This window comes from Homo sapiens, chromosome 19 (assembly GCF_000001405.40).
Source record: "Homo sapiens chromosome 19, GRCh38.p14 Primary Assembly".
NCBI classification, from domain to species: Eukaryota; Metazoa; Chordata; class Mammalia; order Primates; family Hominidae; genus Homo; species Homo sapiens.
Genome location: NC_000019.10, coordinates 700,889 through 728,645, shown reverse-complemented (window position 1 = coordinate 728,645; position 27,757 = coordinate 700,889). Strand labels below are relative to the sequence as shown.

At 59.3% G+C, this 27,757-nt stretch overlaps 1 protein-coding gene across 5 annotated transcripts in view, besides 6 other annotated features; it reads right to left on the bottom strand.

Moving 5' to 3' along the window:
• PALM (paralemmin) overlaps positions 1-19,711 on the bottom strand; it is a 39,395-nt gene extending 19,684 nt beyond the window's left edge. For 2 of the 5 annotated variants that reach the window (NM_002579.3, NM_001040134.2), the window contains exons 1-4: positions 19,495-19,711; positions 2,457-2,508; positions 1,558-1,638; positions 952-1,082 (exon numbers count right to left, since the gene is read on the bottom strand). In NM_002579.3, the coding sequence (NP_002570.2) occupies positions 952-1,082; positions 1,558-1,638; positions 2,457-2,508; positions 19,495-19,499 (269 nt within the window). In that variant the 5' untranslated portion in view covers positions 19,500-19,711. Of the gene's footprint in view, positions 1-951; positions 1,083-1,557; positions 1,639-2,456; positions 2,509-8,988; positions 9,371-17,447; positions 17,685-19,494 lie in introns of those variants that run through there. The other 3 variants (XM_017026850.3, XM_005259565.5, XM_005259566.5) reach the window with 3 other exon arrangements.
• Positions 10,062-10,594: an enhancer, noted in NCBI's record as "H3K4me1 hESC enhancer chr19:718052-718584 (GRCh37/hg19 assembly coordinates)". NCBI's record gives its function as "activates a minimal SCP1, AML or CMV promoter by ChIP-STARR-seq in primed H9 embryonic stem cells {active_cell/tissue: H9 hESC(primed)}" and the evidence as "EXISTENCE:reporter gene assay evidence [ECO:0000049][PMID:30033119]".
• Positions 20,154-20,714: an enhancer, noted in NCBI's record as "H3K27ac-H3K4me1 hESC enhancer chr19:707932-708492 (GRCh37/hg19 assembly coordinates)". NCBI's record gives its function as "activates a minimal SCP1, AML or CMV promoter by ChIP-STARR-seq in naive H9 embryonic stem cells {active_cell/tissue: H9 hESC(naive)}" and the evidence as "EXISTENCE:reporter gene assay evidence [ECO:0000049][PMID:30033119]".
• Positions 20,465-20,701: a silencer, noted in NCBI's record as "fragment chr19:707945-708181 (GRCh37/hg19 assembly coordinates)". NCBI's record gives its function as "represses an EF-1alpha promoter that drives an FKBP-Casp9 reporter gene in an ReSE screen in phorbol 12-myristate 13-acetate-treated (for megakaryocytic differentiation) K562 erythroleukemia cells {active_cell/tissue: K562(+PMA)}" and the evidence as "EXISTENCE:reporter gene assay evidence [ECO:0000049][PMID:32094911]".
• Positions 23,579-24,549: an enhancer, noted in NCBI's record as "H3K4me1 hESC enhancer chr19:704097-705067 (GRCh37/hg19 assembly coordinates)". NCBI's record gives its function as "activates a minimal SCP1, AML or CMV promoter by ChIP-STARR-seq in naive H9 embryonic stem cells {active_cell/tissue: H9 hESC(naive)}" and the evidence as "EXISTENCE:reporter gene assay evidence [ECO:0000049][PMID:30033119]".
• Positions 24,422-24,521: a silencer, noted in NCBI's record as "silent region_9620". NCBI's record gives its function as "represses an Ori minimal core promoter by ATAC-STARR-seq in GM12878 lymphoblastoid cells {active_cell/tissue: GM12878}" and the evidence as "EXISTENCE:reporter gene assay evidence [ECO:0000049][PMID:35858748]".
• Positions 24,622-24,941: a silencer, noted in NCBI's record as "silent region_9619". NCBI's record gives its function as "represses an Ori minimal core promoter by ATAC-STARR-seq in GM12878 lymphoblastoid cells {active_cell/tissue: GM12878}" and the evidence as "EXISTENCE:reporter gene assay evidence [ECO:0000049][PMID:35858748]".

Here is a 27,757-nt window from a genome sequence, read left to right as displayed (position 1 = left end):
AGTAAAGATGGGGTTTCACGATGTTGGTCAGGTTGGTCTCGAACCTCTGATCTCAAGTGATCCTCCTGCCTCGGCTTCCCAAAGTGCTGGGATCAGGGGTGTGAACCACCGCACCCGGCCTGTCCATGCCTTTACACGCCCTGCCCAGGAGGGAAGTCCATCCCGAACACCCCCAACGTGCTTTCTTCAAAGCAAATGGGCAGAACTGGGCAGGGAGGGGCCCCCACGGGGTCAGAACCCAGCGTCTGGGAAGGGCCTGCGAGGTCCGTGTGATCCGGCCGGCCTCCCGCCTCTGGGCACCTTCCCTGGCCAGGGCAGACGTTTGGAATCTTGGTCGTCACTTCCCTCCACCCTGACCCTGCTGCCCCCGAGCACAGCCTGGGCCTCCCGCCCGCCGGAAACTCCAGGCCTTTGGTCCCAGCCCCCACAGGGATTGCCACTTTCCCCATCCTGTCCCCTTCCTGCCCCCGCCCGAGCTTCCTGCGGGCCCAGCTGCTCTGCATCCATCCCGTTCGAACCATGGGAGCGCTTGCCCGCCAGCTGGGCTGGCGCCAGGAAGCCCCCAGGGAGGCCAATGCCGGCAACACCCAGCTCCAGGGACCCACGAGCTCGACGTCACGTCCCCCGCTGGCCAGCTCCAGGGACCCAGGAGCTCGACGCCACGTCCCTCGCTGGCTCAAACGAGGGCGGTGGGAAGGGAAAGGGGTATCTCCCTGCCTGAGGCCACGCAGCCAGCCTCTGCCCCCAGCAAGCTGCCCCAGACCCAGGTGGATGCCCCAACCTGATCTGTCCCGTCCTGCGTCCCCCTCAAAGCATGTTGGGTCCTGGCCTGCCCGGTCCACGCATCTCCCTCAAAGCACACTGACGACTCTTCCCAGCCCACACCCTCCCGGGAGCCAGCGGCCCCCGAGGCCCCACCCAGCCCGGTGGCACCCACGCTGCAGCCCCCACCTGGACACCGAGTCCTCCAGCAGCCGTGTCTTCTGCTCGTCGTCCTGCATCTGCCTCCTCAGGTCCTCATCCCCCTCTGAGGCCGAGGACGGCGTCCCCTCCAGCAGCCAGCGCTCCCGCAGTGCCTTGGACTGAGCAGCAGGGATCCAGGTCAGAGTCGTGGGCAGGACCAGGGCCAGGGTTAAGACTTAAGACTGAGGTCAGGGTCAGGATCAGGGTCGGGGTTGAGGCAGGACCAAGGTTGGGGTCAGGGTTATGGTTGGGATCAGTGCTGAGGTCAGAATCACAATCGAGGTTGGGGGTCAGGGTCTGGGTCAGAGTCAAGGTCAGGGTCAGGATTGAGGTTGGGGTCAGGTCAGGGTCAGAGTCAGGACTGAGATCAGGGTCAGGGTCGGGGTCAGGGTCAGGTTGGGGTCAGGGTCGGGGTCAGGTTGGGGTCAGGGTCGGGGTCGGGGTCGGGGTCAGGGTCGGGGTCAGGGTCAGGGCTGGAGGCAGGGTCAGGGTCAGGTTGGGATTGGGGTCAGGGTCAGGGTTGGGCAGGAGTCCGGGGCCTCCGCCTCACAGCCGCCTGCACTCCCTGACCCTGGGTCCCTGCCCCGCTCGTACCTTCAGGTGCTGCAGCTGCCTCCGCTCGTCCTCCAGCTGCCGGCGCTTGTTCTCGATCTCCGCCTGCCGCTTCCGCTTCTCCTGTGGGGAGGGCCGGGTGGGGTCAGGGATGGGCGTGGGGGTCCCGGAGACCCCCCCACCCCCACACAAGGCTCTGCCCAGCCCGATCCTGCTTCCTCTGTCCGGGGATCCTCGTGGCCCACTGGCTTCCAGGTGACAGCGGATCGCACCACTGTACTCCAGCCCGGGACAGCAGCGCAAGACCCTGTCTCGAAAATCAATGACTGGCCGGGCACGGTGGCTCACGCCTGTAATCCCAGCACTTTGGGAGGCCAAGGCGGGAGGATCACTTGAGTTCAGGAGTTCAAGACCAGCCTGGCCAACATGGTGAAACCCCATCTCTACTAAAAATACAACAATTAGCCCAGCGTCGTGGCGGTCACTCATAATCCCAGCTACTCGAGAGGCTGAGGCAGGAGAGTCACTTGAACCCAGGAATCGGGCCACGTCACAGGAGGGTCGGGTCACAGAGAGGGGTCTGCGGACACCAAGAGGGCCTTCTTGGGCCAGAGGCCACCAAGATGGCACCAAAGCACATCTGTGCTCCCATCACCAAAGTTTATTTTCCTGCAGGACGAGGGCAGGGTTCCAGGGAATGCCAGCCTCAGTTTCCCCACCGACCCATCAGGCAGAGCGAGGCCGGGGGTCCAGGAGCTGCCGACTCAGGGGGTCTCCACTTCCATTCTCTGCGGGTCAGCAGGATCCAAGTTTCCCAAGCAAATAACTCACCACCCACCATGCCCTGGTTCCAGGTCCTAGGACAGGTCCAGGGCCCGAGACCCCAGGTCCCCCCACTTCCCCACCCTGACCACACCGTCTGCGGGGCGGCGGAAACTCACTGCGATGGCCTGCAGCCGCTCCTGCTGGGACGTGGTCTCTGCCGCCAGGACCCTGCGGGAGGGAGATAAGGTCAAGCTCTGGTTCACTGAGCCCTGCTGTCCGTCAGACGCGGTTCAAATCCCAGCTCTGCCTCTTCCCCTAGGGGTAACCAGGGCAAGGGATTTCATCTCTGAACCCCAGTTTCCCCTTCTGTAAAGTGGGGCCCTCCCTGCCCCCTCAGCGGCCAAGGAAGCCAGGACAGGAGGGGACGAGGCTCTGCCTAGCGACCAGGAAGGGTTTGGGGAGAAGGGGACATTGAGGCAGGGCCACCAAGGATACATAGGAGTTCACCAGGCATCAAAGGCCAGAGAAGGGTGTTTCGGGAAGAAGGAAGTGTATCACCTCCTGGCCCAGACCATAAGACAGATCAGGACAGTCCTCTCTGCACCCTCCTGCCCACCAAGACCTACTCTGCAGCCCCAGGAGGGGCAAACAGAGGATGAAAGACCCACCAGCCCCACCTCCCAAGCCTGGGCTTGCAAAAGCCCAGACAGGGAGACGAGCCTCCCAAGGACGCACAGCAAAGGATCCAAGTCCGGATTCAACCCCAGACTCGCTCTTATCCAATCATTGTGGTTTTGTTTGTTTTTTCAGATGGAGTCTTGCTGTCTCCCAGGCTGGAGTGCAGTGGCAGGATCTCAGCTCACTGCAGCCTCCGCCTCCTGGGTTCAAGCGATTCTCCTGCCTCAGCTTCCTGAGTAGCTGGGATGACAGGTGCCTGCCACCACGCCCGGCTAATTTTTGTATCTTTTAGTAGAGACAGGGGTTTCACCATGTTGGCCAGGCTGGTCTCGAACTCCTGACCTCAGGTGATCCGCCCGCCTTGGCCTCCCAAAGTGCTGGGATTACAGGCGTGAGCCACCGCGCCCGGCCCAATCATTGTCTTTTGAAAACAGCCCACCCAGTGCAGCTGTAGCCTCACCTCCCAGGGCTGGTATGTGGTAGGCGCTTAACAAATATCAGGGGGCAGCTGAGGCAGGCGGATCACTTGAGGTCAGGAGTTCGAGACCAGCCTGGCCAACATGGCAAAACCTTGTCTCCACCAAGAAATACAAAAATTAGCTGGGCGTGGAGGCTGAGGCACGAGAATTGCTCCCAACTACTCAGAAGGCTGAGGTGGGAGAATCACTTGAACCCGGGAGGTCGAGGCTGCAGTGAGCCGAGATCGCGCCACTGCCCTCCAGCGTGGGCAACAGAGTGAGACCCTGTCGCAAAACAAAACAAAAGCAAAACCACAGCTGCTCACGCCTGTAATTTTAGCACTTTGGGAGGCCGAGGTGGGAGGATTACTCCAGCCCAGGAGTTCGAGACCAGCCTAGGCAATCTAGTAAGACCCCATCTCTACCAAAAATAAAAATAAAAAATATTATCAAGGTGTGGTGGTGTGCGCCTGTAGTCCCAGCTACTCGGGAGGCTAAGGTGGGAGGACTGCTTGAGCCTGGGAGGTCCAGGGGGCAGTGAGCCATGACCCCACCACCCTACTCCAGCCTGGGCAGCAGCATGAGGCTCTGTCTCAAAAATGAATGAATGGCCGGGCGCAGTGGCTCACGCTTGTAATCCCAGCACTTTGGGAGGCTGAGGTGGGAGGATCACCTGAGGTCAGGAGTTCTAGACCAGCCTGCCCAACATGGTGAAACCCCCGTCTCTACTAAAAATACAAAAATTAGCCAGGCGTGGTGGTCGGCACCTGTAATCCCAGCTACTTGGAGGCCGAGACAGGAGAATGGCTTGAACCCAGGAGGCAGAGGTTGCATGAGCCGAGATCGCGCCACTGCACTCCAGCCTGGGCAACAGAGCAAGACTCCACCTCAAACAAACAAACAAACAATAAATGAATGAATGAATACCACTGTTGCCGGATACGCCTGAAGGGACCGGGCTTCAGGCTTCAAAGATACAGGGCCCTTTGTGGTGTGGGAAGGAGGTCCAGAAACCGAAGCCCTCGCCACCCCCACCAGGCACCCACCACACGCTCACTCGCCCAGGAAAGAACCGAGGAATTCTGTGGTTCTCTGACCTCCCCACAGCAACCTCGCCCTGCAGCTCCAGAAGCTGGTGCAGAGCCCCTCTCCTCATCTGTCTGCAGCCCCGTGGTTCACACGGAGTTCAGGGCACCCCCACCCCACTGCTTTCTCGCTTCCCCTCCCACCTGCTAGAAGAAGAGCTTTGCCACCCAAACCCTCCCCTCCCCTCCCTGGTCTGTGGGCCCTCAGAAAGCTGCACGTAGTAGGTGCTTAGTAAAATGCAAAAAGCAGGCCGGGCGCGGTGGCTCACGCCTGTAATCCCAGCGCTCTGGGAGGCCGATGCGAGCGGATTACCTGAGGTCGGAAGTTCGAGACCAGCCTGGCCAACAGAGACGGTAAAACCCCGTCTCTACCAAAAAATACAAAAATTAGCCGAGCGTGATGGCAGGCACCTGTAAAACCAGCTACTTGAGGAGCTGAGGCAGGAGAATTGATTGAACCCAGGAGGCGGAGGTTGCAGTGAGCAGAGATCACGCGCTGCACTCCAGCCAGGGCAACAAAGCGAGACTCCGTCAAAAACAAAACAAAACAAAACAACAAAAAGAAAAACGCAAGGAGCACCGAGCCCTAGACTGGGGCTGAGCTTGGCCTTGACCTTCCCAGCGACCCTCAGGCTTCCAAGGCTGTTGCAGCGAGGCAGGGAGAGGACGGTAGGGGTTGGCGGTGGGTGTCCCAAGCTCTGGGCGGCATCAACAGGGGGAGGCCCAGGCTGACGGGCAGGGCCTGGCGGGAACCAGGGGTGAGGGGTGGGAGACAGGTTCCCCCGACCCCCAACATCTTATCTTCCCAGAGACTGAAATTACAGCCTGCCCTTCGTGTCTGCTGCCACCCCCAGCCCTCTCAGCCTGGTGTCAGGGCCCAGAGCCAGCCCTGCCTCCAAAGAGCCCTCGTGCCTCTCTGGGCCTCAGTTTCCCCATCCACGCAAACACGGAGGCACAGATGCCTGCAGCTCTAAGGCCTCCTATGACGTCCCCCTTGTGCCCCCATCCCCTCCCCCAGTTCAGCAGAGAAAATGAAACTGCACAGTGCACTGGCTCACCCCCAGCCCCGCCTGGGAGGCTGCTCCGGGTCAAGACCTCCCTGGAGCCCGAGGCGCCCCGCCTGCCCACCCCACTCGGGTTTGGTTTCCTGGCCCTGCTGAGGCCTGTGAAGTTGTCCAGCTCCCATGCCCCAGAGGTGACCCCACCGGCTCCTCCCTTCCTGGCAGGTGACACCTACCCTTCCCGGTGCCTCCCAGGGGCCCGGGAACACCAGCTGCGCCCTCTGTGGCTTTCCCTTCTCCCTCCTCAGGGAGGCTGGGTTCAGCTGCCTTCACCGGGTGGGGTTCAGGAAAGGCTTGATCCAGCTTTCTGGCTTGGGGGCCCTTCCTGAATAGCCAGCTCAGCTGGAGTTCTCGGTCAGCCCCAGCAACGGGTGATGCAGGCAGTGAACCATCCACTGTGCGTTCCCTTGAGGCCCGGGCCCTCGCTTCCTGCCTACCCCAAGTTCCCCACCCTAGCCCAGGCCTCTAGTGTTCCCTGCCAACTCCCTGCCCCCTCACAGCTCCCTCTCCACCCGCCAGCCAGAGGCAGCTTCTCAAAAAGAGAATCAGACCCTAGGCCAGGTGTGGTGGCTCAAGCCTGTAATTCCAGCATTTTGGGAGGTGAAGGCCAGTGGATCGCTTGAGCCCAGGAGTTCGAGACCAGCCTGGGCAACATAGCAAGAGCCTGTCTCTACAAAAATAACTAACTAACTAAATAAATAAAAAGCCAGGTGTGGTGGTATGTCCCTGTGGTCCCAGCTACTTGGGAGGCTGAGGTGGGAGGATCACTTGAATCCAGGAGGTTGAGGCTGGGTCGAGCCGTGATTGTGCCACTGTCTCCAGCCTAGGTGACAGAGCAAGACTTTGTCTCAAAAATAAAAATTTAAGGCCGGGTGCGCTGGCTCACGCCTGTAATCCCAGCACTTTGGGAGGCCGAGGCGGGCGGATCACGAGGTCAGGAGATCGAGACCATCCTGGCTAACACGGTGAAACCCCGTCTCTACTAAAAACACAAAAAATTAGCCCGGCGTGGTGGCGGGTGCCTGTAGTCCCAGCTACTCGGGAGGCTGAGGCAGGAGAATGGCGTGAACCCGGAAGGCGGAGCTTGCAGTGAGCCGAGATTGCGCCACTGCACTCCAGCCTGGGCGACAGAGCGAGACTCCGTCTCAAAAAATATATATTAAAAAAATGAAAATTTTTAAAAATGGGCCAGGTGCAGTGGCTCACGCCTGGAATCCCAGCACTTTGGGAGGCCAAGGCGGGTGGATCACCTGAGGTCAGGAGTTTGAGACCAGCCTGACTAACATGGAGAAACCCCATCTCTACTAAAAATACAAAAATTAGCCGGGCATGGTGGCACATGCCTGTAATCCCAGCTACTCAGGAGGCTGAGGCAGGAGAATCACTTGAACCTGGGAGGCAGAAGTCACGGTGAGCCGAGATCATACCATTGCACTCCAGCCTGGGCAACAAGAGAGAAACTCTGTCTCAAAAAACAAAACAAACAAACAAAAAATTTTTTTAAAATTAAAAAAAGAAGGCCAGGCACGGTGGCTCATGCCTGTAATCCTAGCACTTCGGGAGGCCAAGGTGGGCAGGTCACTTGAGGTTAGGAGTTTGAGACCATCCTGGCCAACAAGGCAAAACCCAGTCTCTACTAAAAATACAAAAATTAGCTGGGGGTGGTGCCAGGCGCCTGTAATCCCAGCTACTCGGGAGGCTGAGGCAGGAGGATCACTTGAACCCGGGAGGTGGAGGTTGCAGTGAGCCGAGATCGTGCCACCGCACTCTAGCCTGGGGGACAGAGTGAAACCCTATCTCAAAATAACAATAATAATAATAATAATTAATCAGACCCTGTCCCTCTCCAGCTCTAGAGGCTCCCTGGCTCCCATCAGCCCTTAGAGGAACCCTCAGGTCGGCCCCTTCACTTCCCCCGTTGGTCTACTCCTGCAGGGCCCCCTGGCTATGCACCAAGCCTCCTACCCCAGGGCCTCTCACACACGGTTCCCCCTGCCCGGCACCTTCTTCCCATGGCTGGAAGCCACGTCCAGGGAGGGCACAGCGTGGCCCTGGGCACAGCCAGATTGGAACAACAACCGCCCAGCCCCGGGCCACCCCACAGTCCTGGTTTCCAGCTCTAAGTGGGCTCGGGGCCACCCCGGAGGGAGCAGAGCTGGGGCGGGAGGTCCACAAAACGGCGGAACTCCTGGGCCCCAGGATCAGGCTGGTCGCCGACTGCCCAGGTCCCCACCCGGCAGGCAGGTGGCCGCTCAGACCGGACCCGGGGACAGAGTGTGGCTGTGTGGCCGCCTCCCAGGCTGGAGACAAGGCGGTAGTGTCTGGGGCAGCCTGTCCCTGCCCGGCCGGCCAGGGCGGGGGAATGTCAGGCGGGCGGGCAGGGAACGCGCGGGAAGCAGCCCCAGGGCGCAGGCCCCTCCCCAGGACGCGCCCCCCTGGCCCCCGCAGTCACGGGCGCCCCCCTCGCCCCTCCCCAGACCCGGCGCCCCCCTCGCCCCTCCCCAGACCCGGCGCCCCCTTCACTCTCCCCAGGCCCGGGCGCCCCTCTCGCCCCTCCCCAGACCCGGCGCCCCCCTCACCTCTCCCCAGGCCCGGGCGCCCCCTCGCCTTTCCCCAGGACACGCAGGATGCGCCCCCCTTGCCCCTCCCCAGACCCGGCGCCCCCCTCGCCCCTCCCCAGACCCGGCGCCCCCCTCGCCCCTCCCCGGGCCTGGACGCCCCCTCGCCTTTCCCCAGGACACGCAGGATGCGCCCCCCTCGCCCCTCCCCAGACCCGGGCGCCGCCGCCCCGGTGATGGATGGAGGGGCCCGCGGGAGGCGGTCGCCGTGGCAACCGCGCCGTCCCCATGGCAACGCCGAGGCCCGGCGCGCGGGGGTGGGGCCGGCGCAGCATCTCCCGCCCCCGGCCTGTGCTTGGGGGGATTGGGGGGGGCCGAGGCTTCGGGCCTGGGGCGGCCTAGACGGGCGGGAGGGGTCGGGAATTTCTCCCCCGCGCTGCGGCTGGGGGAGGGGAGGGGGGTCCCCGTCTGGGCGTCCGGGGGGCGCCCGCCCAGGAAGGGGCTTCCATCCGGGAGGGGTGTGGACCCGCCCCCGACGCCGGGTAGCCAAGGTCAGGCCGACAGAACGCTCCACGTCACAGATTGGAAAAATTAAGCGAAATATGACCACGACGCACGGATCAAAACGGCCACAAACCGAGAACGCCTCCCCCAGCGCTCGCTCCCTCCTGCGGCCGGGTCAGCCCCATTTCACCGACGGGGAAACTGAGGCCGGGCAGGGCGGCCTTCTCCCGGCGTTCATCCTCCTGCGGGCGGGGCCCGCCAGGCGCGGGGGAGTCTCATTCCCGTGTGATCGGCGAGGCTGGGACCAGGACCCCGGCGCAGGGGTCACGGAAGGAAGCGGAGGTCGGATCACAAAAGGTCTTACATGCTGGGCGGAGGAGCTGAGTCCCGGGCAAAGGCGTGGAAAAGCTCAGGGCGGCGGCGGTCCTGGTGCTGCTGGGGGTCCCAGGGCAGGTGCTGGGGGTCCCGGGGCAGGTGCTGGGTCTCCGAGCCTCCCTGGCTCCCGGCAGCCGCGCAGAGCCCCTGGAGCGCCACGCCCCCCGCCCGACGCCCACCCCGGCGCGCACAGGCCTCCCGTCCCCGCGATGCTTTTTACGGCGTGTGGCGGTGTGGGCGGCTCGGGGCCCGGCGAGGGCGTCGTCTGGAGCGCGTGAGATAGTCCTGCTCCAGGAGATGAGTTCATGAGGCCCAAACCCGACGGGAGCCCCGCAGAGGCCTCCGCGGTGCGGGGCGTTGGTGTTGGAAGGGCCCAGAGAGGTTACGCAACGGCCAAGGTCACCCAGCGAGCAGGGCGGGCCCTGTCCGAGGCGGGAGGGGCGTGTGTGGGATGGGGGCGTCGCACTCGTCCTTCCAGAACCCACGCCCGGGCAGCTCCAGCCAGAACGAGGGGGTCCCTGCCCGGGCAGGCGCCGAGCCCAGCGCCGGGAACATTCCTGCTGCTAATTGAAAGGAAAGAGCTGACGGTGACCTTGGCCATTGTGGGGGGTGGGGGAGTCACGCGGGGCTGCGAGGTGTGGGGTGCGGGGGCAGCAGGGGATGGAGTTCGGGGAGTCTGGACCCCAGCTGCTTCCCAGTCCCGGTGATCCTCGGTCCTCAGAGCCTGTGTCTCCCCTGAGCGCTGGCACCCCCGGCCCTGCTTCCTCCACCGCCCTGCCCTGCTCCAAGCCCCGGAGTCCAAGCCCCAATGTCAGCCCCTCACCCTTCATCAGCTCCCAGCTTCCCCTTTCCCTTCTCCACCGCCAAGATCAGCTCAAGCACAGCCACCTCCTCCAGGCAGCCTTCCAGGAAGGAACCTCCTCCCAGCCCTCCCAGGATGCAGCACGGAGGCCCCCAGGGCCATCCCAGTCTCTGGGGCACCGAGAACCCTAAACGGGTTACGGCAGAGAGGCATCACCCCGGGGGAGAGGAGAAGACGGAGGTCAAAGCAGGCCACAGATGCAGAGAAGCAAACCTGTTGCCTATTAACCTGGGGTGGGAAGGGACCCTGCCCGGGCCCTCAGGGGAAGACGGGGCAGTGAGGCGTGAACGGGGCCTTCCCTGGCTTTCAGCAGGGTCTCAGGGCAAACCCTGCTGCAGAGGCCCCATGGTCCCTCCCCACGCGACTGCACTCCAGCCACACTCCTGAGACGTCCCACAGAGCTCCCACTGCAGGGCCATTGTGCTGGCTGCATTGCTGCCTGGTGCACGGTCACCCAGACCTCCCCGGGCCTCAGGCCCAAGGCCTTTCTGCAGACGTCACCTCCTCATTTAGGCCTCTTCTGTCCTAATTTTCAGCCCCAGGCACCCCTGCAGCTGTCACCACCCGGATCACTTTACTTATCTTTTTCTTTTCTTTTTTTTTGAGATGGAGTCTCCCTCTGTTGCCCAGGCTGGAGTGCGGTGGCGCGATCTCGGCTCGCTGCAACCTCCGCCTCCTGGGTTCAAGTGATTCTCCTGCCTCAGCCTCCTGAGTAGCTGGGATTACAGGCACATGCCACCACGCCCGGCTAATTTTCGTATTTTTAGTAGAGACGGGGTTTCACCATGTTGGCCAGGCTGGTCTCGAACTCCTGACCTCAGGTGGTTCGCCCGCCTCAGCCTCCCAAAGTGCTGGGATTACAGGCGTGATCTTGTCTTCCCACTAGGACAGCAACTGTGTCATTTTTGTCCCTGCCATGTCCCTGGCACCAGGCATACAGCAGGTGCTCAATAAATGCTTGCTGCCCCAGGGAGTCGATTAGGGTCTTTCCATCTTCAGAGGAAGCCCCCACCCAGAGGTCCCCCCAATCCCGGCCCCCTCTTCTCACACTCCCGCCACTCCCAGGGCCACCTGTCATCTGATCACTGCCTCTTCTTTTTAAAGAAACTCACTGTCACGACTTACACTTATGTAAAGTAGGACCCGGACTCCTCAGTGTGAACAGAGCACAAGCTCCAACCATCTCGGGGGGTAACTACAGATTCACAGATAAACCAACCCGGGTGTCCATCCACAGATGTGTGGGTAAACGCAATGTGGCCGTCCACGCACTGGGACATGACTCAGCCGTGAACAGGAGCGAGGCTCTGACCCAGGCCACGGCGCGGATGCACCTTGAGGACATCACGCTCAGTGAGAGACGCCAGACACAGAAGGCCACGCAGCGTGTGATCCCATGTCTACGAAATGTCCAGGACCTGCCGATCCAGAGACAGGAAGGGGACTGGCTCCCCGAGGGCTGGGGGGAGGGGGACGGGAGGGGATGCCTAATGGGGACAGGGCTTGTTTTGGGGGTGATGAAAATGTTCTACAATTGTGGTGAAAGATACACAACTCTGCTGGGCGCGGTGGCTCACACCTGTAATCCCAGCACTTTGGGAGGCCAAGGCAGGTGGATCACAAGGTCAAGAGATTGAGACCATCCTGGTCAATATGGTGAAACCCCGTCTCTACTAAAAACACAAAAATTAGCCGGGCGTGGTGGCACGTGCCTGTAATCTCCGCTGCTCAGGAGGCTGAGGCAGGAGAACCACTTGAACCCGGGAGGCGGAGGTTGCAGTGAGCCGGGATTACGTCACTGCACTCCAGCCTATGTGACAGAGAGACTCTGTCTCAAAAAAAAAAAAAGTACACCCTGTCAGTGTACTAAAAACGCCTGAGCTGTACACTTTAAGCAGCCAGACTGTGTAGCGTGTGAAATGTATTTTAATGAAGCTGTTAAGAATGATATACATACAGACGTGTGTATACATACCTGTGTACGTGTGTGTATACGTGCATGTGTAATGGGAATGCCAGCCTTCTCAACAAGAGCCAGGCCAGGGGCTGGGGTCCTTCCCAACCCCCATGGAGTGCTGAAACCCCTGCTGGCCCTGCCCTGAGACTTTCCATGGCTGGAAGCGTTTGAATACAAACTGATGAGGACATCAGCTTCTCGCTCCCTGACAGGGGTTACTGAAGAACCCTGGGCCTCTGTCCCTCCCCGGCCTTCAGGGTCCCGCATCTCTGCCTCCATTGCCCACAGCCTCTGCCCACCCAGGAGGGGCTCCCAGGCCTGGCCCTGTCCCACCACCAGTCTGTTGACCATGCAGCGCCTCCCACTCAGCTGGCCTCACTCTGGTCCTAATCTAAACTTTCTTTTTTTTTTTTTTTGAGAGAAAGAGTCTCGCTCTGTCACCCAGGCTGGAGGGCAGTGGCGCAATCTCGGCTCACTGCAACCTCCTCCTGGGTTCAAGCGATTCTCCTGCCTCAGCCTCCCGAGTAGCTGGGATTACAGGCACCTGCCACCATGCCTGGCTAATTTTTGTATTTTTGGTAGAGACGGGGGTTTCACCATGTTGACCAGGCTGGTCTCGAACTCCTGAACTCAGGTGATCTGCCCGCCTCGGCCTCCCAAAGTGCTGGGATTACAGGCGTGAGCCACCATGCCCAGCCCTAATCTAAGTCTTCCCCATCCCAAGGCCTAGCTCCCCTTCCCTCTTCCCACCCAGTCCAGGCTCTGTCCTGGTGACTGGCTCTGACTGTCCCTGAATTTCTGCTTGAAACCCTGGGGCGGGAGACAGCCACTCTGGCCTGATTTTACACTCCTCAGACACCAAGACGTCCACGCAGCCATCCTCCTAGAGGACGCCCTCCACCCCCTCATGTATCCAGGGACCAGGCTACTTCTCCCCAGCCAGGGAGCCCCGTCCCTGTGGGCATCACTGACCACACGCAGTTCTGGAATCCTGTGTTTGCCCTCCTAGACGTGGGGTCCTGCCCCCTCTGGCTCTGCCATTTCTCTGCATGCTGCCCCTGCAGCCACAATCAAGGCTTGGCCATGACTTGCTCCTCCCTGGGCTCACTCCTCAGCTGCCAGCGCCTTTTTTGATGACCAGGTCAGCCACTGCTCCTCCCCTGCTCACACACTATCCATGACTCCCCATCCTGGCACTCAAGGCCTAGCAGGAACAAACACCAAAGAGCATTCTCTTCTTCCAATGCTTTCCCACCTCTAGCCCTTTGCACATGCCAGTCCTTCCACAAGGTGCATCCTTCTGCCTGCCTGGATGAACCCTGAAACATCCTTCTCAGAAAAGGTTCATGATGGACTGGATGAGGAAGCCTTTCTCACACCTCAGAGAAGATGCTGCATAGCTTTCCAGACCCTGCTGATCCCGCACAGCACGAGGATGGTGAGGAGGGAGCATTTATTTGTTCAATAAACAAATGACAGGTTTCCTAGATCAAGAAAGGATGAGAGGAAACAGGGGCCCACACTCAGAAAAAGGTGATATAATGCTTTTTTTTTTTGAGACGGAGTCTCGCTCTGTCTGTCACCCAGGCTGGAGTGCAGTGGTGCAATCTCGGCTCACTGAAAGCTCCGCCTCCCAGGTTCAAGCGATTCTCCTGCCTCAGCCTCCCGAGTAGCTGGGATTATAGGCACCCGCCACCACGCCCGCCCGGCTAATTTTTGTATTTTTAGTAGAGATGGGGTTTCACTATGTTGGCCAGGCTGGTCTCGAACTCCTGACCTGAGGTGATCCTCCTGCCTCGGCCTTCCAAAGAACTGGGATTACAGGCATAAGCCACTGCACCCGGCCCATATGATGCTTTTAAAGAACATCAGGCTGGGTGCAGTGGCTCACATGTGTGTACTCCCAGCGCTTTGGGAGGCTGAGGTGGGAGGATGCTTGAGCCCAGGAGTTTGAGACCGGCCTGGGCAACACAGGGAGACCCCGTCTCTACAAAAACAAAACAAAACATAATAATTAGCAGGGTGTGGTGGTGGCACCTGTAGTCCCAGCTACTCAAGAGGCTGGGTGGAGGATCCCGTGAGCCCGGGGCGTGGAGGCTGCAGTGAGCTATGATCACACCTCTGCACTCCAGCCTGAGCAACACAGTAAGACCCAGTCTAAAAAAAAGAAGGCTGGGCGCGGTGGCTCACGCCTGTAATCCCAGCACTTTGGGAGGCCGAGGTGGGCGGATCACGAGGTCAGGAGATCGAGACCATCCTGGTTAACATGGTGAAACCCCATCTCTACTAAAAATACAAAAAATTAGCCGGGCGTGGTGGCGGGCGCCTGTAGTCCCAGCTACTCGGGAGGCTGAGGCAGGAGAATGGCATGAACCTGGGAGGCAGAGCTTGCAGTGAGCCGAGATCTCGCCACTGCACTCCAGCCTGGGCGACAGAGAGAGACTCCATCTGAAAAAAAAAAAAAAAAAAGAAAGAAAAAAAGAACGTAGGCTGGGCGCGGTGGCTCATGCGTGTAATCCCAGCACTTTGGGAAGCCGAGGTGGGCGGATCACTTTAGGCCAGAAGTTCAAGACCAGCCTGGCCAACATGGTGAAACTCTGTCTCTACTAAAAAATATACAACAAGCCGGGCGCGGTGGCTCACGCCTGTAATCCCAGCACTTTGGGAGGCCGAGGAGGGTAGATCACAAGGTCAGGAGATCAAGACCATCCTGGCTAACACAGTGAAACCGCATCTCTACTGAAAATACAAAAAAATTAGCTGGGTGTGGTGGCGGGTACCTGTAGTCCCAGCTACTCGGGAGGCTGAGACAGGGGAATGGCTTGAACCCAGGAGGCAGAGGTTGCAGTGAGCCGAGATCACCCCACTGCACTCCAGCCTGGGTGACAGAGCGAGACTCTGTCTCAAAAAAAAAAAAAAGAAAGAAAGAAAGAAAAAAAGAACATAGGCTGGGCATGGTGGCTCATTCTTGTAATCCCAGCACTTTGGGAAGCTGAGGCAGGCGGATCACTTGAGGCCAGGAGTTCGAGACCAGCCTGGCCAACATGGTGAAACCCCGTCTCTACTAAAAATATACAAAAAATTAGCCAGGCGCAGTGGCGCATGCCTGTAGTCCCAGCGGCTTGGGAGGCTGAGGCATGAGAATCGCGTGAACCCAGGAGGCAGAGGTTGCTATAAGCCGAGATCACACCGCTGTGCTCCAGCCTGGGTGACAGCGAGACTGTGTCTCAAACAAACAAACAAAAAGAACATAAGCCAATTTCCTAGGGTCAAAATCTGAGGCCCTTAAGGATGAACCTGGCTAATGGGCAGAGGCAGAGATGCCCCCACTGGGTGGTGCTCAGAGGGTCCAGGCCCATAAAGCACCTGCCCTTCCTCTACCCCTATCTCCCCTAATGATGGCAGTCACATCCCCACTCGCCAGATGAGAACAGTGAGGCCCGGAGGAGACTGACATGCTAAGGTGTGACGGGGAGTCAGGACCCCCTCTCCACACTCCTCTCCCAAATCACAGAACGGCGTGGATGGGCACAGAGGCAGGGCAGATGCCCCAGGAGCCAAGACCACCGACAAGGCCACCGTCTGTGTTTCTCAATAAACACACCAGGATTGAAAGCCGACACCAGGATGTCTGATATCCAGACCACCACGCCCCACAAGACCACAACCCCCAGACACAGGTACCAAAAACCCTCCCCTGTCCCCGGCGGCTTAGAGAGAGCATGCTCGGCCCACCCAGCAGCAAACCCCCCACCCATGCCTCTGCAGCTGTGTGTCCTTACATGTGCCACTGGACCACCCTGTACCTCAGTTTCCCTCTCTCGCAGGGCTTCTGTAAGGATCAAGGGAGTGGGCCGTGCACGGTGCCTCACACCTGTAATGCCAGCATTTTGGGAGGCCCAGCTGGGCGGATCACCTGAGGTCAGGAGTTTGAGACCAGCCTGCCCAACATGGCGAAACCTTGTCTCTACTAAAAATACAAAAATTAGCTGGGCGTGGTGGCAGGCACCTGTAATCCCAGCTACTCGGGAGGCTGAGGCAGGAGAATCGCTTGAACCCAGGAGGCAGAGGTTGCAGTGAGCCGAGATCGCGCCACTGCACTCCAGTCTGGGTGACAGAGAGAGACTCTGTCTCCAATAAAAAAAAACCAGGCATGGCGGCTCACACCTGTAATCCCAGCACTTTGGGAGGCCAAGGCAGGTGGATCACAAGGTCAGGAGATTGAGACCATCCTGGCTAACACTGTGAAACCCTGTCTCTACCAAAAACACAAAAAATTAGCCGGGCGTGATGGTGGGCGCCTGCAGTCCCAGCTACTCGGGAGGCTGAGGCAGGAGAACCGCTTGAACCCAGGAGGCAGAGGTTGCAGTGAGCCGGGATCACACCACTGCACTGCCTGGGTGATGGAGCAAGACTCTGTCTCAAAAAAAAAAAGAAGGATCAAGGGTCAAGGGAGTTCTCACACATAAAGCATTCGGAACAGGGCCATGGAAAAGGCAAGTGTCAGCCAGGCACGTGGCTCACGCCTTTCATCCCAACACTTTGGGGAGGCCGAGGCAGGCGGATCACCTGAGGTCAGGAGTTCAAGACCAGCCTGGGCAACCTGGTGAAACCCTGTCGCTACTAAAAATACAAAAATTAGCCGGGCGTGGTGGCGGGCACCTGTAGTCATAGCTACTCAGGAGGCTGAGGTAGGAGAATTGCTTGAACCCGGGAGGCGGAGGTTGCAGTGAGTGGAGATCGCAGCACTGCACTCCAGTGTGGACAACAGAGAGATACTCTGTCTCCAAAAGAAAAAAAAAAGCATCAGAGGAATTCACACACATACAGAGCACTCAAAACAGGGCCGTGGAAAAGGCAGGTACCCACTTAATGGTTGCCGAGTGAATAAATTACGCCTGCACTTCTCAAACCACCTTCCCATGCAATGCTGTCGTCCCAGCTACTTGGGAGGCTGAGGCAGGGAAGTCGCTTGAGCCCAGGAGTTCGAGACTGGCCTGGGCAACATGGAAAAAAGAAAGAAACCACCTTCCCATGTTCCGCCACCTCCTGGACAGTATCTGTCTATTCCTTGCCTTCAAAACCACTCCAGTGTAAATCAAATCGCCTTGTTTTAGAAAGAAACATTATATTGTGATCAACACTGGGCAAACCAGAAGCCACCGCCACAAACAAGACAGCGGAAACATGGAGGAAGAAACAGATACAACGGAAGTAAAAGCTTGTTATTAAATTCAATTATCACTAGGTACTGTTGCCTTTTAACAGGCTCTGCCTCTCATTAAAAAGGGGGATTAGCAAGTGTGAAGGAGCGTTAAGGACCCAGTTAGCACCCAACGGAGACTTTCCTATTGAAAATTTCCAGGTCTGCGAGCAGGGAGGAGTCTGGGCCGGTCTTGACCATCTGTCCAGGCCCAAGTCTGTTCTCCTCCCTATCCCGGGGGTTTGAGCCTTGCCTGTACCCAGGACAGGGCTGTGGGTGCTGGAGAATGGCTGCTCCAGGCCAAAATATCTTTATTTTACCAGCCAGACCATGTGTCACGCAGGGGCCACACAAACCCTCCCAGAGCACAGAGATTCTCTCCGAAGCAGAGATTCTCCCCAGCTCCTTCCTGGACGTTCTCCTCACCTTGGCAGCATCGGCCCTGTGGTTAGCAACCCGCTAGTTCTCCTTAAATCCTCACATTAACAAAAAATAACCTGTTCTTGAATGACATTTAAAATTCTTTAAATTCTTAAATTCATTTGTGAAACTTTCCAGCGAGACGGGCACCACCACAAACCACAGCCAGCTCCCGTGTCTTCGACTGGAAAATCTGTGGAAACGGGAGGAGGCAAGCGATCACGTTCTAGCGGACGGGGCCTTCGTGCCTGAAGCCCGCCGGGGAGAAGAACGAGGGGGCAGGTGTCCAAGGCCGGGCGGCACCAGATGGGCCTGTCCCCACCCATTGTCAGCCCGGGAACCGGGGAGAGAGTCGTCCTCGAATGGCGGCTCACAGCAGCCGGTTAACACTGGGTGCCTGTCCCATGTCTGCATCCCCAAAAGCAATGATGACCCAATGGGGGACCTGTGGGCCACCCTCTGACCCAGGACGGAGAAACCGTGGAGCAGAGCAGGAGGCACCGAGGCCCCCCGGCCCCAGGTGCTGTGTGATGGAGGGGGGGTGGGGGGGGGGCAGCAGCTCCTCTCTGGGCCTCAGTATCCCCCGTGGGAAAGGAAGGGGTGGCAGGAAGGAAACAATGGGCCCGACCCGGAGTGTTCGCTGACACCCCTCCTCTGGGAGGGAGATCTCCGTCGTCCTCCTAGGCAGCCCCCTCCCCACAGCCACACCCTGCCCAGGCCTGGCTGTCAGAGGCCCAGAGGCTCCTCCGGGGCCTGGCGAGCAGGGCAGATAAACAAGGCTGGGGGGTGGGGGTGTGGAGCAGGCAAGTCTGGGCCCTGGCTCCCCTGAGCCCCTGGCTGAGCTCCCGGGGCGGGGTGACGGGGAGAGGGGTCAGGCCTTTGTCTGGGTTTTCAAAAGCAGAGGACACTGGGTGTCTCGCTTTCCCAGGGAGGGAGGGAGGCAGCGGCCCCCACCCAGCCGCGGGCGTGGCGGGTCACGGGTGAATCCCCGGGGAAAGTTGGCGGCTTAGAAAACACGCCCAGTGGGAAGGGCAGGGGGCCACAGGCGGCCTCCAGATCCGGTCTTCGGTCCTCGGGCTGGGGTGGGGACCCGGGCCTCAGCAGGGCAGCTGGCTCCCCTGTCCTGAAGTGGGCAGGTGGGTGACCCCAGGAGGAGCCTCCTGACCCCTGCCCGTGCAGTGCCCACCTGTGGGAGTGAGGGGCAGAGGGGCACCCGAGCACCGGGAGGAGGGGACCGGTGTCCGAAATGACCACGCGCCCTCGCTCGGTGCCTCCACTGGCCACCCCCCCCCCACACACACAGGCGCAGCCATGCGGGGGTCCAGGGATCCCAGCCCAGGGCCAGCCCACTCCTGTAGCTACACCAGTGGAGCCCCAGCTCCGAGACACTTCCCCGAGAGGGTATCCCACCCAGGCGCCCCGCTGGAAAACGCCGGTTCCTCTCCCTTCTCACACACCCCAGAGACCCGGGAAGCCGAGGGCAGCCCCTCTCCCTCCAGCGGTAACTCGGGACCTGCGCAGTGGCGGGGGGCTCAGGACACCCCTGGAGGCCCTTGGGAAGGGCGGGGGTGGGGGGCACCGGCCCGCGCGCGCGTCCAGGGCGCCAGGAGCCGTGCGCTCAGACTGGGGCGGGGGAAGGGTGCGTGAGCGCGAGGCCGGACCGGTGCAATCTGGGGAGGGGTCGCTCCATCTCCCCGGGGCCACCCACAGGTGGCCGAGAGCCGAGGCTCGCCCTGGAGACGCGGGCGGGGCGCGGGCGGAGACGCGAGCCTCCCCCTCCCCGCGTCCTGGACTGGCCCGAGCCGCCGCTGCCCGGGTCCCCACGCGCCGGTGGGTGGGCAGCCGGGGTCCGGGAGCGGGGAGGCCTCCCGGCAGGCGCGGCCCAGCCCGAGTCTCTTCCCGGCTGCGCTGCGGCCCCAGCAGCCCCGCGCCGCCTCCTGCTCCTCGCGGGGGCAGCGACGCCCCCAATGGGGCGCGAGAGAGGGGGCCTCCCCCCTCCCCGGCTCCCGGAGCTCCGGGCCCCCAGCCCCGCGGCCCGAGCGCGCCTACTCACTCCATCTCCCCGCCGAGGTCCGGGTGGGTCCGCGGTGCCGGGCGGGGGCGGGCGCGGGTGGCGCGCGGGGGAGGGGAGGGGAGGGGGACGCGGCCTGGCGGGGGCCGGGGCGGGCTAAGGCCTGGCGGCCGGGGCTGCGCGGCGCGGGGGCGGCGGCACCGGCTCGGGCATCGCCCCGCGCAAAGCTGCTGTTTATTGTCCGGGCGGCGGCGGGCGCGGGGGGTGGGCTGGGCGCGCGCGTCTCCGGCGCGCTCCCCTCTCCCTCCCGCCCGCCCCGCTCCCCGCCCCGCTCCCCTCCCACCTCCCCGCGCTGCGAGCGGGCGCTGCGCCTCCTGCCGGCTGCGCCGCCGCCGCCCCCCGCCCCGCGCGCCCCGCCCCGGGGCACCCCTGAGAAGGGCCTAGGTCTGGGCGCGGTGCTGGGACCCGGCTGTCACCAAGTCCCGCCCCTCCCCAGCTCCTGGGCCAGAGCCGGGACCCTCGCGAAGTCAGACAAGCAAAGGCCTTTCTCGAGAGCCCAGACGCCGAGAGGGACACACATTTCAGGGCGAGCGAGGGGATAGGGGGGTCCTGGGGAGGCCGCTGCGAGGAGCTGACAGCTCCCTGCACCCCCGGCCCCGCTCGCAGGGTCCCCAGGCCTCCTTTGCCGGAGTATCTGGTGGAGGGCGCTGTGCCTGCAAAGGCCGGGGGTTGGGGTGGAGACAACCGCAGGTGCTGATCTGTCTGTGCCCTGGCTGGGAGCTGAGCCTGGTCCCCGGGGCTGGAATTTAATCGGCCCCAGGGCCCCCATGGCACACTCACTAAAGGCCCAGCGACCAGACGACCAGAGTGAGTGAGAGGGACGGTGGAGAATCAGGGAGAGCTCAGGCTTTGTCCTCAGAGCACTGGGGAGCCACAGCAGGAGACAGGCAGGACCTGTCTTCCCCAACATGTAGGCCTTGGGCCCAGCTTCCTGGTTTCCCGTGAGAACACTGCAGACCAGCCCCAGCACACCTACTCATGGGGGTCCAGGGTGGGCAGGAAGGAAAGATTCTTCCAAACTTCTTAGTTTTCTTATAAAACGGTTCTCCTCTGCCGATGTTTGCTGAATGGCTGTAGATTTAAAGGAAAGTAGCCCCGGATGAGCTGTGGAGAAAGATACGGCAGGATGTACCCCAGGCTGAAGAAGGCCGTCAACACCTTTTCTTTATTCCTCCCTTTTTACAATGAATGTGTATTCATTTTAGCATTTAAGACAATAAGATAAATTAGCAAAGGTTAACAAAGCTAAGATCCTAAAGAATATCAGGGGTCCCGGGTCTGTCTGATTCCCAGCTCACCCATCTCCAAGCTGTGTGACCCTGGGTCTGTTTCTCAACCTCTCGGAGCCTTATTCCCCCCCACCCCCCTGCCCCCACCCTTAAGGCTGTGGGAGGGTTAACTGAGTGAGCACACACAAAGGGCTTGGCACAGGGCCCAGCACACACTAGCTCAGGGTTTGGCAAACTTTTTCTGTAAAGGGCCAGAGAGTAAATATTTTCAGCATTGCAGGCCACAGTCTCTGCGGCAATGACTCTGCTCTGCCATCGCAGAGTGAAAGTAGCCAGAGACAATATGTAAAACCATGGGCATGGCTCTGTGCCCATAAAACTTTATTTACAAAAACAGGCAGTGGGCCAGAGCTTATCCCAGGGCCGTAGTGTACTGACCCCTGCACTAGGCACCCAATAAAACTTTATTTACAAAAACAGGCAGAGGGCCAGAGCTGATCCGAGGGCCGTAGTGTACTGACCCCTGCACTAGGCACCCAATAAAACTGACCTGTGAGTCGTTTCTTCACTTCCCCTTGGCCTCTGTGTTCTTTTAGTCCAAAGTGATTTATTGAACACCTACTGTGTGCCTGGCACCGTTAGTCACCTGTGATGCAGAAGTTCCATTTTTGCGGCCAGGCGCCGTGGCTCACGCCTATAATCCCAGCACTTTGGGAGGCTGAGGCTGGTGGATCACGAGGTCAAAAGTTTGAGACCAGGCCGGGCGCGGTGGCTCACGCCTGTAATCCCAGCACTTTGGGAGGCTGAGGCTGGTGGATCATGAGGTCAAAAGTTAGAGACCAGCCTGGCCAACATGGCAAAACCACTTCTTTTTTTGGCTGGGGTGGACGGAGTTTCGCTCTTGTTGCCCAGGCTGGAGTGCAATGGCGCGATCTCGGCTCACTGCAACCTCCGTCTACCAGGTTCAAGCAATTCTCCTGCCTCAGCCTCCCTAGTAGCTGGGATTACAGGTGTGAGCCACCACGCTCGGCCAGTGAAACTCCTTCTCTACTAAAAATACAAAACTTAGCTGGGCATGGTGGTGCGCGCCTGTAATCCCAGCTACTGGGGAGGCTGAGGCAGGAGAATGGCTGGAACCCGGGAGGCAGAAGTTGCAGTGAGCAGAGATCGCGCCACTGCACTCCAGCCTGGGTGACAGAACAAGACTCCATCTCAACAAAACAAAACAAAACAAAACAAAAAAGAAGTTCTGTCCTTGGAGAGACGGTGATTTTTGTCCCCTACATAAATGATTCAGGGTGAATGAAGTGACTGTTACATGTAATCCCAACACTTCAGGAGACTGAAGCAGGAGGATCACTTGAATCCAGGAGGTGAAGACCCTGGGCTACCTAGTGAGACTTCCATTTCTACAAAAAATTAAAAATTGGGCCGGGCACAGTGACTCACGCCTGTAATCCCAGCACTTTGGGAGGCTGAGGTGGGCAGATCACCTGAGCTCTGGAGTTCGAGATCAGCCTGAGCAACATGGAGAAACCCCGTCTCTACTAAAAATACAAAATTAGGCGGGCGTGGTGGTGCATGCCTGTAATCCCAGCTACTCCAGAGGCTGAGGCAGGAGAATCACTTGAACCTGGAAGGCGGAGGTTGCAGTGGGCCGAGATCGCACAATTGCACTCCAGCCTGGGCAACAAGAGCGAAACTCCATCTCAAAAAAAATAAAAAATAAAAAATAAAAATTAGCTGGGCACGGTGGTGTGTGCCTGTGGTCCCAGTTACTTGGGAGGCTAAGGTGGGAGGATCGCATGAGCCTGGGAGGTTGAGGCTACAGTGAGCCGTGATCATGCCACTGCACTCCAGCCTGGGCAACAGAGCCAGAACCTGGCTCAAAATAAAATAAATGATTCAGGGCCAGACACAGTGGCTCACACCTGTAATCCCAGCACTTTGGGAGGCTGAGAAGGGAGGATCACTTGAGCCCAGGAGTTTGAGACCAGTCTGGGCAACACAGAAAGACCCCATCTCTACAAATTTTTTTTTTTTTTTGAGACGGAGTCTCGCTGTCACCCAGGCTGGAGTGCAATGGTGCGATCTCGGCTCACTGCAAGCTCTGCCTCCCGGGTTCATGCCATTCTCCTGCCTCAGCCTCCCGAGTAGCTGGGCCTCCCAAAGTGCTGGGATTACAGGCATGAGCCACCGCACCTGGCCCAATTTTTTTTTTAAATACTGCTCCATCCAAGGAAAGGCCACCCCCGGATTCAAACCTCTGTCTGATCTCACCCCTCTGTGACTCCCCGGAGGGCTGGGAATGGGTCTGAGAAGCATCACAAGCTGCAGGGGCCAGACCCAGGCAGGGCGGTGGGACAGGCTGCCATCGGGGTCCTTCAAGATTTTAATTATAAGGAGGAAGAAGAGACAGGGCGAGGCACGGGCTTGGGGGGTCATAGTGACCCTGCATCGGGTGGCCGGCTCCTACTCCCGAGTAAACGGAACCTGCGTGAGGAGCTGTCGAGGTGTTAATTGGTTTTTAGGTGTGACCGTGGTACTTGGTGGCAGCTGTTATTTCATTTGCTTTTGGGGACTGGTTTGTTCGGTACAGCAGTCATTAGCCATATATACATTTTTAAATGTAATTTTTCTTTTTGAGACAGAGTCTCACTCTGTCGCCCAGGCTGGAGTGCAGTGGGGTGATCTCGGCTCACTGCAATTTCCACCTCCCAGGTTCACGCCATTCTCCTGTCTCAGCCTCCCGAGTAGCTGGGACTACAGGCTCCTGACACCACGCCCGGCTTATTTTTTGTATTTTTAGTAGAGATGGGGTTTCACCGTGTTAGCCAGGATGGTCTCGATCTCCTGACCTCTTGATCCGCCTGCCTCGGCCTCCCAAAGTGCTGGGATTACAGGTGTGAGCCACCGCACACAGCCTACAAATTTTTTTTTAAAAAATTAGCTAGGTGAGGTATCATGCATCTGTAGTTCCAGTTACTCACAGGCTGAGGTAGGAGGATCAGTTGGACCCAGGAGATCGAGGCTACGGTGAGCTGTGAAGACACCACTGCACTCCAGCCTGGGTGACAGAGCCAGACCCTATCTCAAAAATAAAATAAAATAAAAGATTCAGGGTTTGAAGGGTGGTGGAGGCATTTTGTGTAAAAATAGGAGGAAGTGAGGAGGCCGTGGGGAGGGTAAGGGACTGCTGGGATCATTTCTCCCACCGCCCCAGCTCTAAACCTCCAGGACTCACACCTCCCTCCGAGCAAAAGCTAAAGTCCTCCTGCCACTCTCAAGGCCCTGCACGAAAAACTCGCGCCGCCCACACCTCCCGACTCCAGCACACACAGGCCTGGAGGTGATGCCACTTGAACCGGGGAAATGGGCCGGGCAAACGGTGGAGGGAGACGTTCCAGGTGGCCGGAACGGCCTGGCAAAGGTGTGGAGGTGGGACAAGGTGGGGTGTGTAGTGGACCGGAGAGAAGCTGCCTCGAGTTGCCCTTCACACCCTCACTTCCACCGCCTCACTGCGCTCACCCACCCACAGGCACTGCAGCGCCCATCCGCGTCCTGTGGGGAGCAGTCACTGCACTGAGGCTCTGCCTCCTGCACCTCGGTCCCCACTCCCAGCTTCCGAAGCAATGTCGGCCCCGCCCCCTGCGCCCTAGCCCCGCCCCCTGAACCTCGGACCCGCCTCCTGGGCAATCTCGGCCCCCGCATCACCCCGCTAGCCTCGCACCCTGCACCCTAGTCCCGCCTCCCAGCAGCCTAGGCCATCTCGGCCCCGCCCCGACCCCGCCCCCTGCACCATGGCCCCGCCCCCGACATCGGCCCCACCTCCCTGCATCCCAGGCAATGTCGGCCCCGCCCCTGCACATTGGCCCCGCCCCCTGTGCCTCGGCCTCGCCTCCCAGGCAATGTCGGCCCCGCCCCTGAACCTCAGCCCCGCCTCCCAGGCAATGTAGGCCCCGCCCCTGCACCTCAGCCCCGCCTCCCAGGCAATGTCGGCCCCGCCCCTGCACCTCGGCCCCGCCTCCAGGCTTCCAGAGCGACGTTGGCCTGACCCCTTCCTGGACTCAGGGACAGGGGAGGAGTGAGGTTTCCCTGAGGGCGCCCCTGCCCTTCCTACTTCCGTAGAGCTCTACCCCGGGGCTCCGCCCAGCACGCCCCACCACTCCTTGCAGATCTGGCCACCCTCTGGAGCCTTGGACGACCGGAAGCTATAGGTGGGTCCCAAAACCTCACTCCTCCCCTGTCCCTGAGTCAGAGACCCCCCTCGCCTCTCCCCAGCCATGACTTTAGCTGAGGCCTTATGGCCCCCACCCCAACCCTGAGCCATGTCGCCTCCGGGTCTCCCCACCTCCTCTCCCTACTCCACTCTTTCACCAGAGAAATATGCCCTGGCCTGCCCCAGCTCAAACACCATCTATGGTTCCCCAGTGCCCTGCAGCCCCACAAGGCAAAGCTGAGCCCAGACAATCCTGTCTCTTCCCTGCTCACCTCTCCTTGCCCCACAACCAGCTTGGGCTTCAGCCATCCAGACACCTGCTGTTAGACGCCTTGTGTGTTCCTCTGGGAGAACTTCCCCAGCTTCCCCATTGTCACTGGGTGCCCTCGGTACCCTTGTTGTTTTTATTTTTTTGAATAAGATAGGGTCTCACTCTGCCACCCAGGCTGGAGTGCAGTGATGTGATCTTGGCTCACTGCAGCCTCGACCTCCCCCATCAGGTAATCCTCCCACCTCAGCCTCCTGAGTATCTGGGACTACAGGTGTGCACCACCACACGTGGCTAATTTTTTTTTTTTGAGACAGAGTCTTGCTCTGTTGCCCAGGCTGGAGGGCAATGGCGCAACCTCAGCTCACTGCAACCTCCACCTCCTGGGTTCAAGCCATCCTTCCACCTTAGCCTCCTGAGTAGCTGGGATTACAGGTGCCCACCATCATGCCTGGCTAATTTTTGTATTTTTAGTAGAGACGAGGTTTCACCGTGTTGGCCAGACTGGTCTGGAGCTCCTGACCTTAGGTGATTCACCTGCCTCGACCTCCCAAAGTGCTGGGATTACAGGCGTGAGCCACCGTGCCTGGCGTTTGCTATTCCTCTTGTCTGTCCACACTCTCTTTCCCACTAAATTCTTCTGACAGACAATGTCATTTACATGTTGTGTTCAGCGTTTCCTTCCTGCCTCTCTGCTGAATGTCAGCCCCACAAGGGCAGGAACTTGCCTGTCTTCTTCACTGCTGAGTCCCCAAGGCCCACAACACTGTCTGTACACAGTAGGTGCTCAATAAATGCTCACGGAATGAGTTGAGTGAATGAATGGATGGTTTCCTGTCTTCTACCCTCTTCTCTGACTGTGATGGCTTCCATGGGAAGGACGGGGCAGGATCCAGCTTACGGATGGGCAAACAGGCGCTTTACAAGGGGCGCCAGGGCCCCAGTCCCCACCAGCATGCCGCATCCAGTACCTTGCTGTTTTTTTTTTTTTCCAACGGAGTCTCGTTCTTGTCACCCAGGCTGGAGTGCAGTGGCGCGATCTCAGCTCACTGCAACCTGCATCTCCTGGGTTCAAACAGTTCTCCTGCCTCAGCCTTCCGGGTAGCTGGAATTACAGGTGCCCGCCACCACCCCCAGCTAATTTTTGCATTTTTAGTAGAGACGGGGTTTCACCATGTTGGCCAGGCTGGTCTCGAACTCCTGACCCCAGGTGACCCGCCTGCCTCAACTTCCCAAAGTCCTGGGATTACAGGCGTGAGCCACTGTGCCCAGCCAACCTTGCTGAATTCTCATCAGCACTCTCGGCATTGCCCCAGGGCAACCCATTCCCTAGATGGGAAAACTGAGGCCAGAGAGCTCCGGGGAGCAGGGCCTTTGGACAGCTCAGGGACCCCCAGTAGCGGCCAAGCCAGCCCTCTCCAGTCTGGCTGGAAGGCAGGTAGTGTTGGGTTGTGCTATGTGTATTCTTTTTTTTTTTTTTTTTTTTTTTGAGATGGAGTCTCACTCTGTCGCCCAGGCTGGAGTGCAACGGTGCAATCTTGGCTCACTGTAACCTCCTCCTCCCAGGTTCAAGTGATCCTCCTGCCTCAGCCTCCCGAGTAGCTGGGATTACAGGCACACACCACCGCACCCAGCTAAGTTTTGTATTTTTAGTAGAGATGGGGTTTTGCCATGTTAGCCAGGCTGGTCTGGAACTCTTGACCTCAGGGGATCCGCCTGCCTCAGTCTCCCAAAGTGCTGGGATTACAGGCGCAAGCCACTGCGTCCAGCCAGTGCAATGTGTATTCTTAAGGCAGCTATCTTCCATTTCAAGAAATAGGAAGCAGGTCCGGGCACGGGGACTCACGCCTGTAATCCTAACATTCTGGGAGGCTGAGGCGGGTGGATCCTCTGAGGTCAGGAGTTCGAGAGCAGCCTGGCTAACAGGGCAAAACCTGTCTCTGCTAAAAATACAAAAAAAGATCAGGCGCGTTGGCAACGCCTGTAATCCTAGCACTTTGAGAGGCCAAGGCAGGCAGATCACCTGAGGTTGGGAGTTCAAGACCAGCCTGACCAACATGGCGAAACCCCATCTCTACTAAAAATACAAAATTAGCTGGGGGTGGTGGTGGGCGCCTGTAATTCCAGCCACTCAGGAGGCTGAGGCAGGAGAATCGCTTGAACCCGAGAGGCAGAGTTTGCAGTGAGCTGAGATCATACCACTGCACTCCAGCCTGGGCAACAAGAGCGAAACTCCATCTCAAAAAAAAAAAAAAAATTAGCTGGGCGTGGTGGCGCATGCCTGTAATCCCAGCTACCTGGGAGACTGAGGTAGGAGAATCTCTTGAACTCAGGAGGAAAAGGTTGCTGAGAGCCAAGATCGCGCCACTGCTCTCCAGCGTGGGTGACAGAGCGAGACTCCCTCTCAACAACAACAACAAAAAAAAAAAAAAAAAAGAAGAAGCAATGTCCTGTGGATATACATTTATTGGGGTTAAAAAATAAAGTGAGGCTGGGCACAGAAGCTCATGCCTGTAATCCCAGCACTTT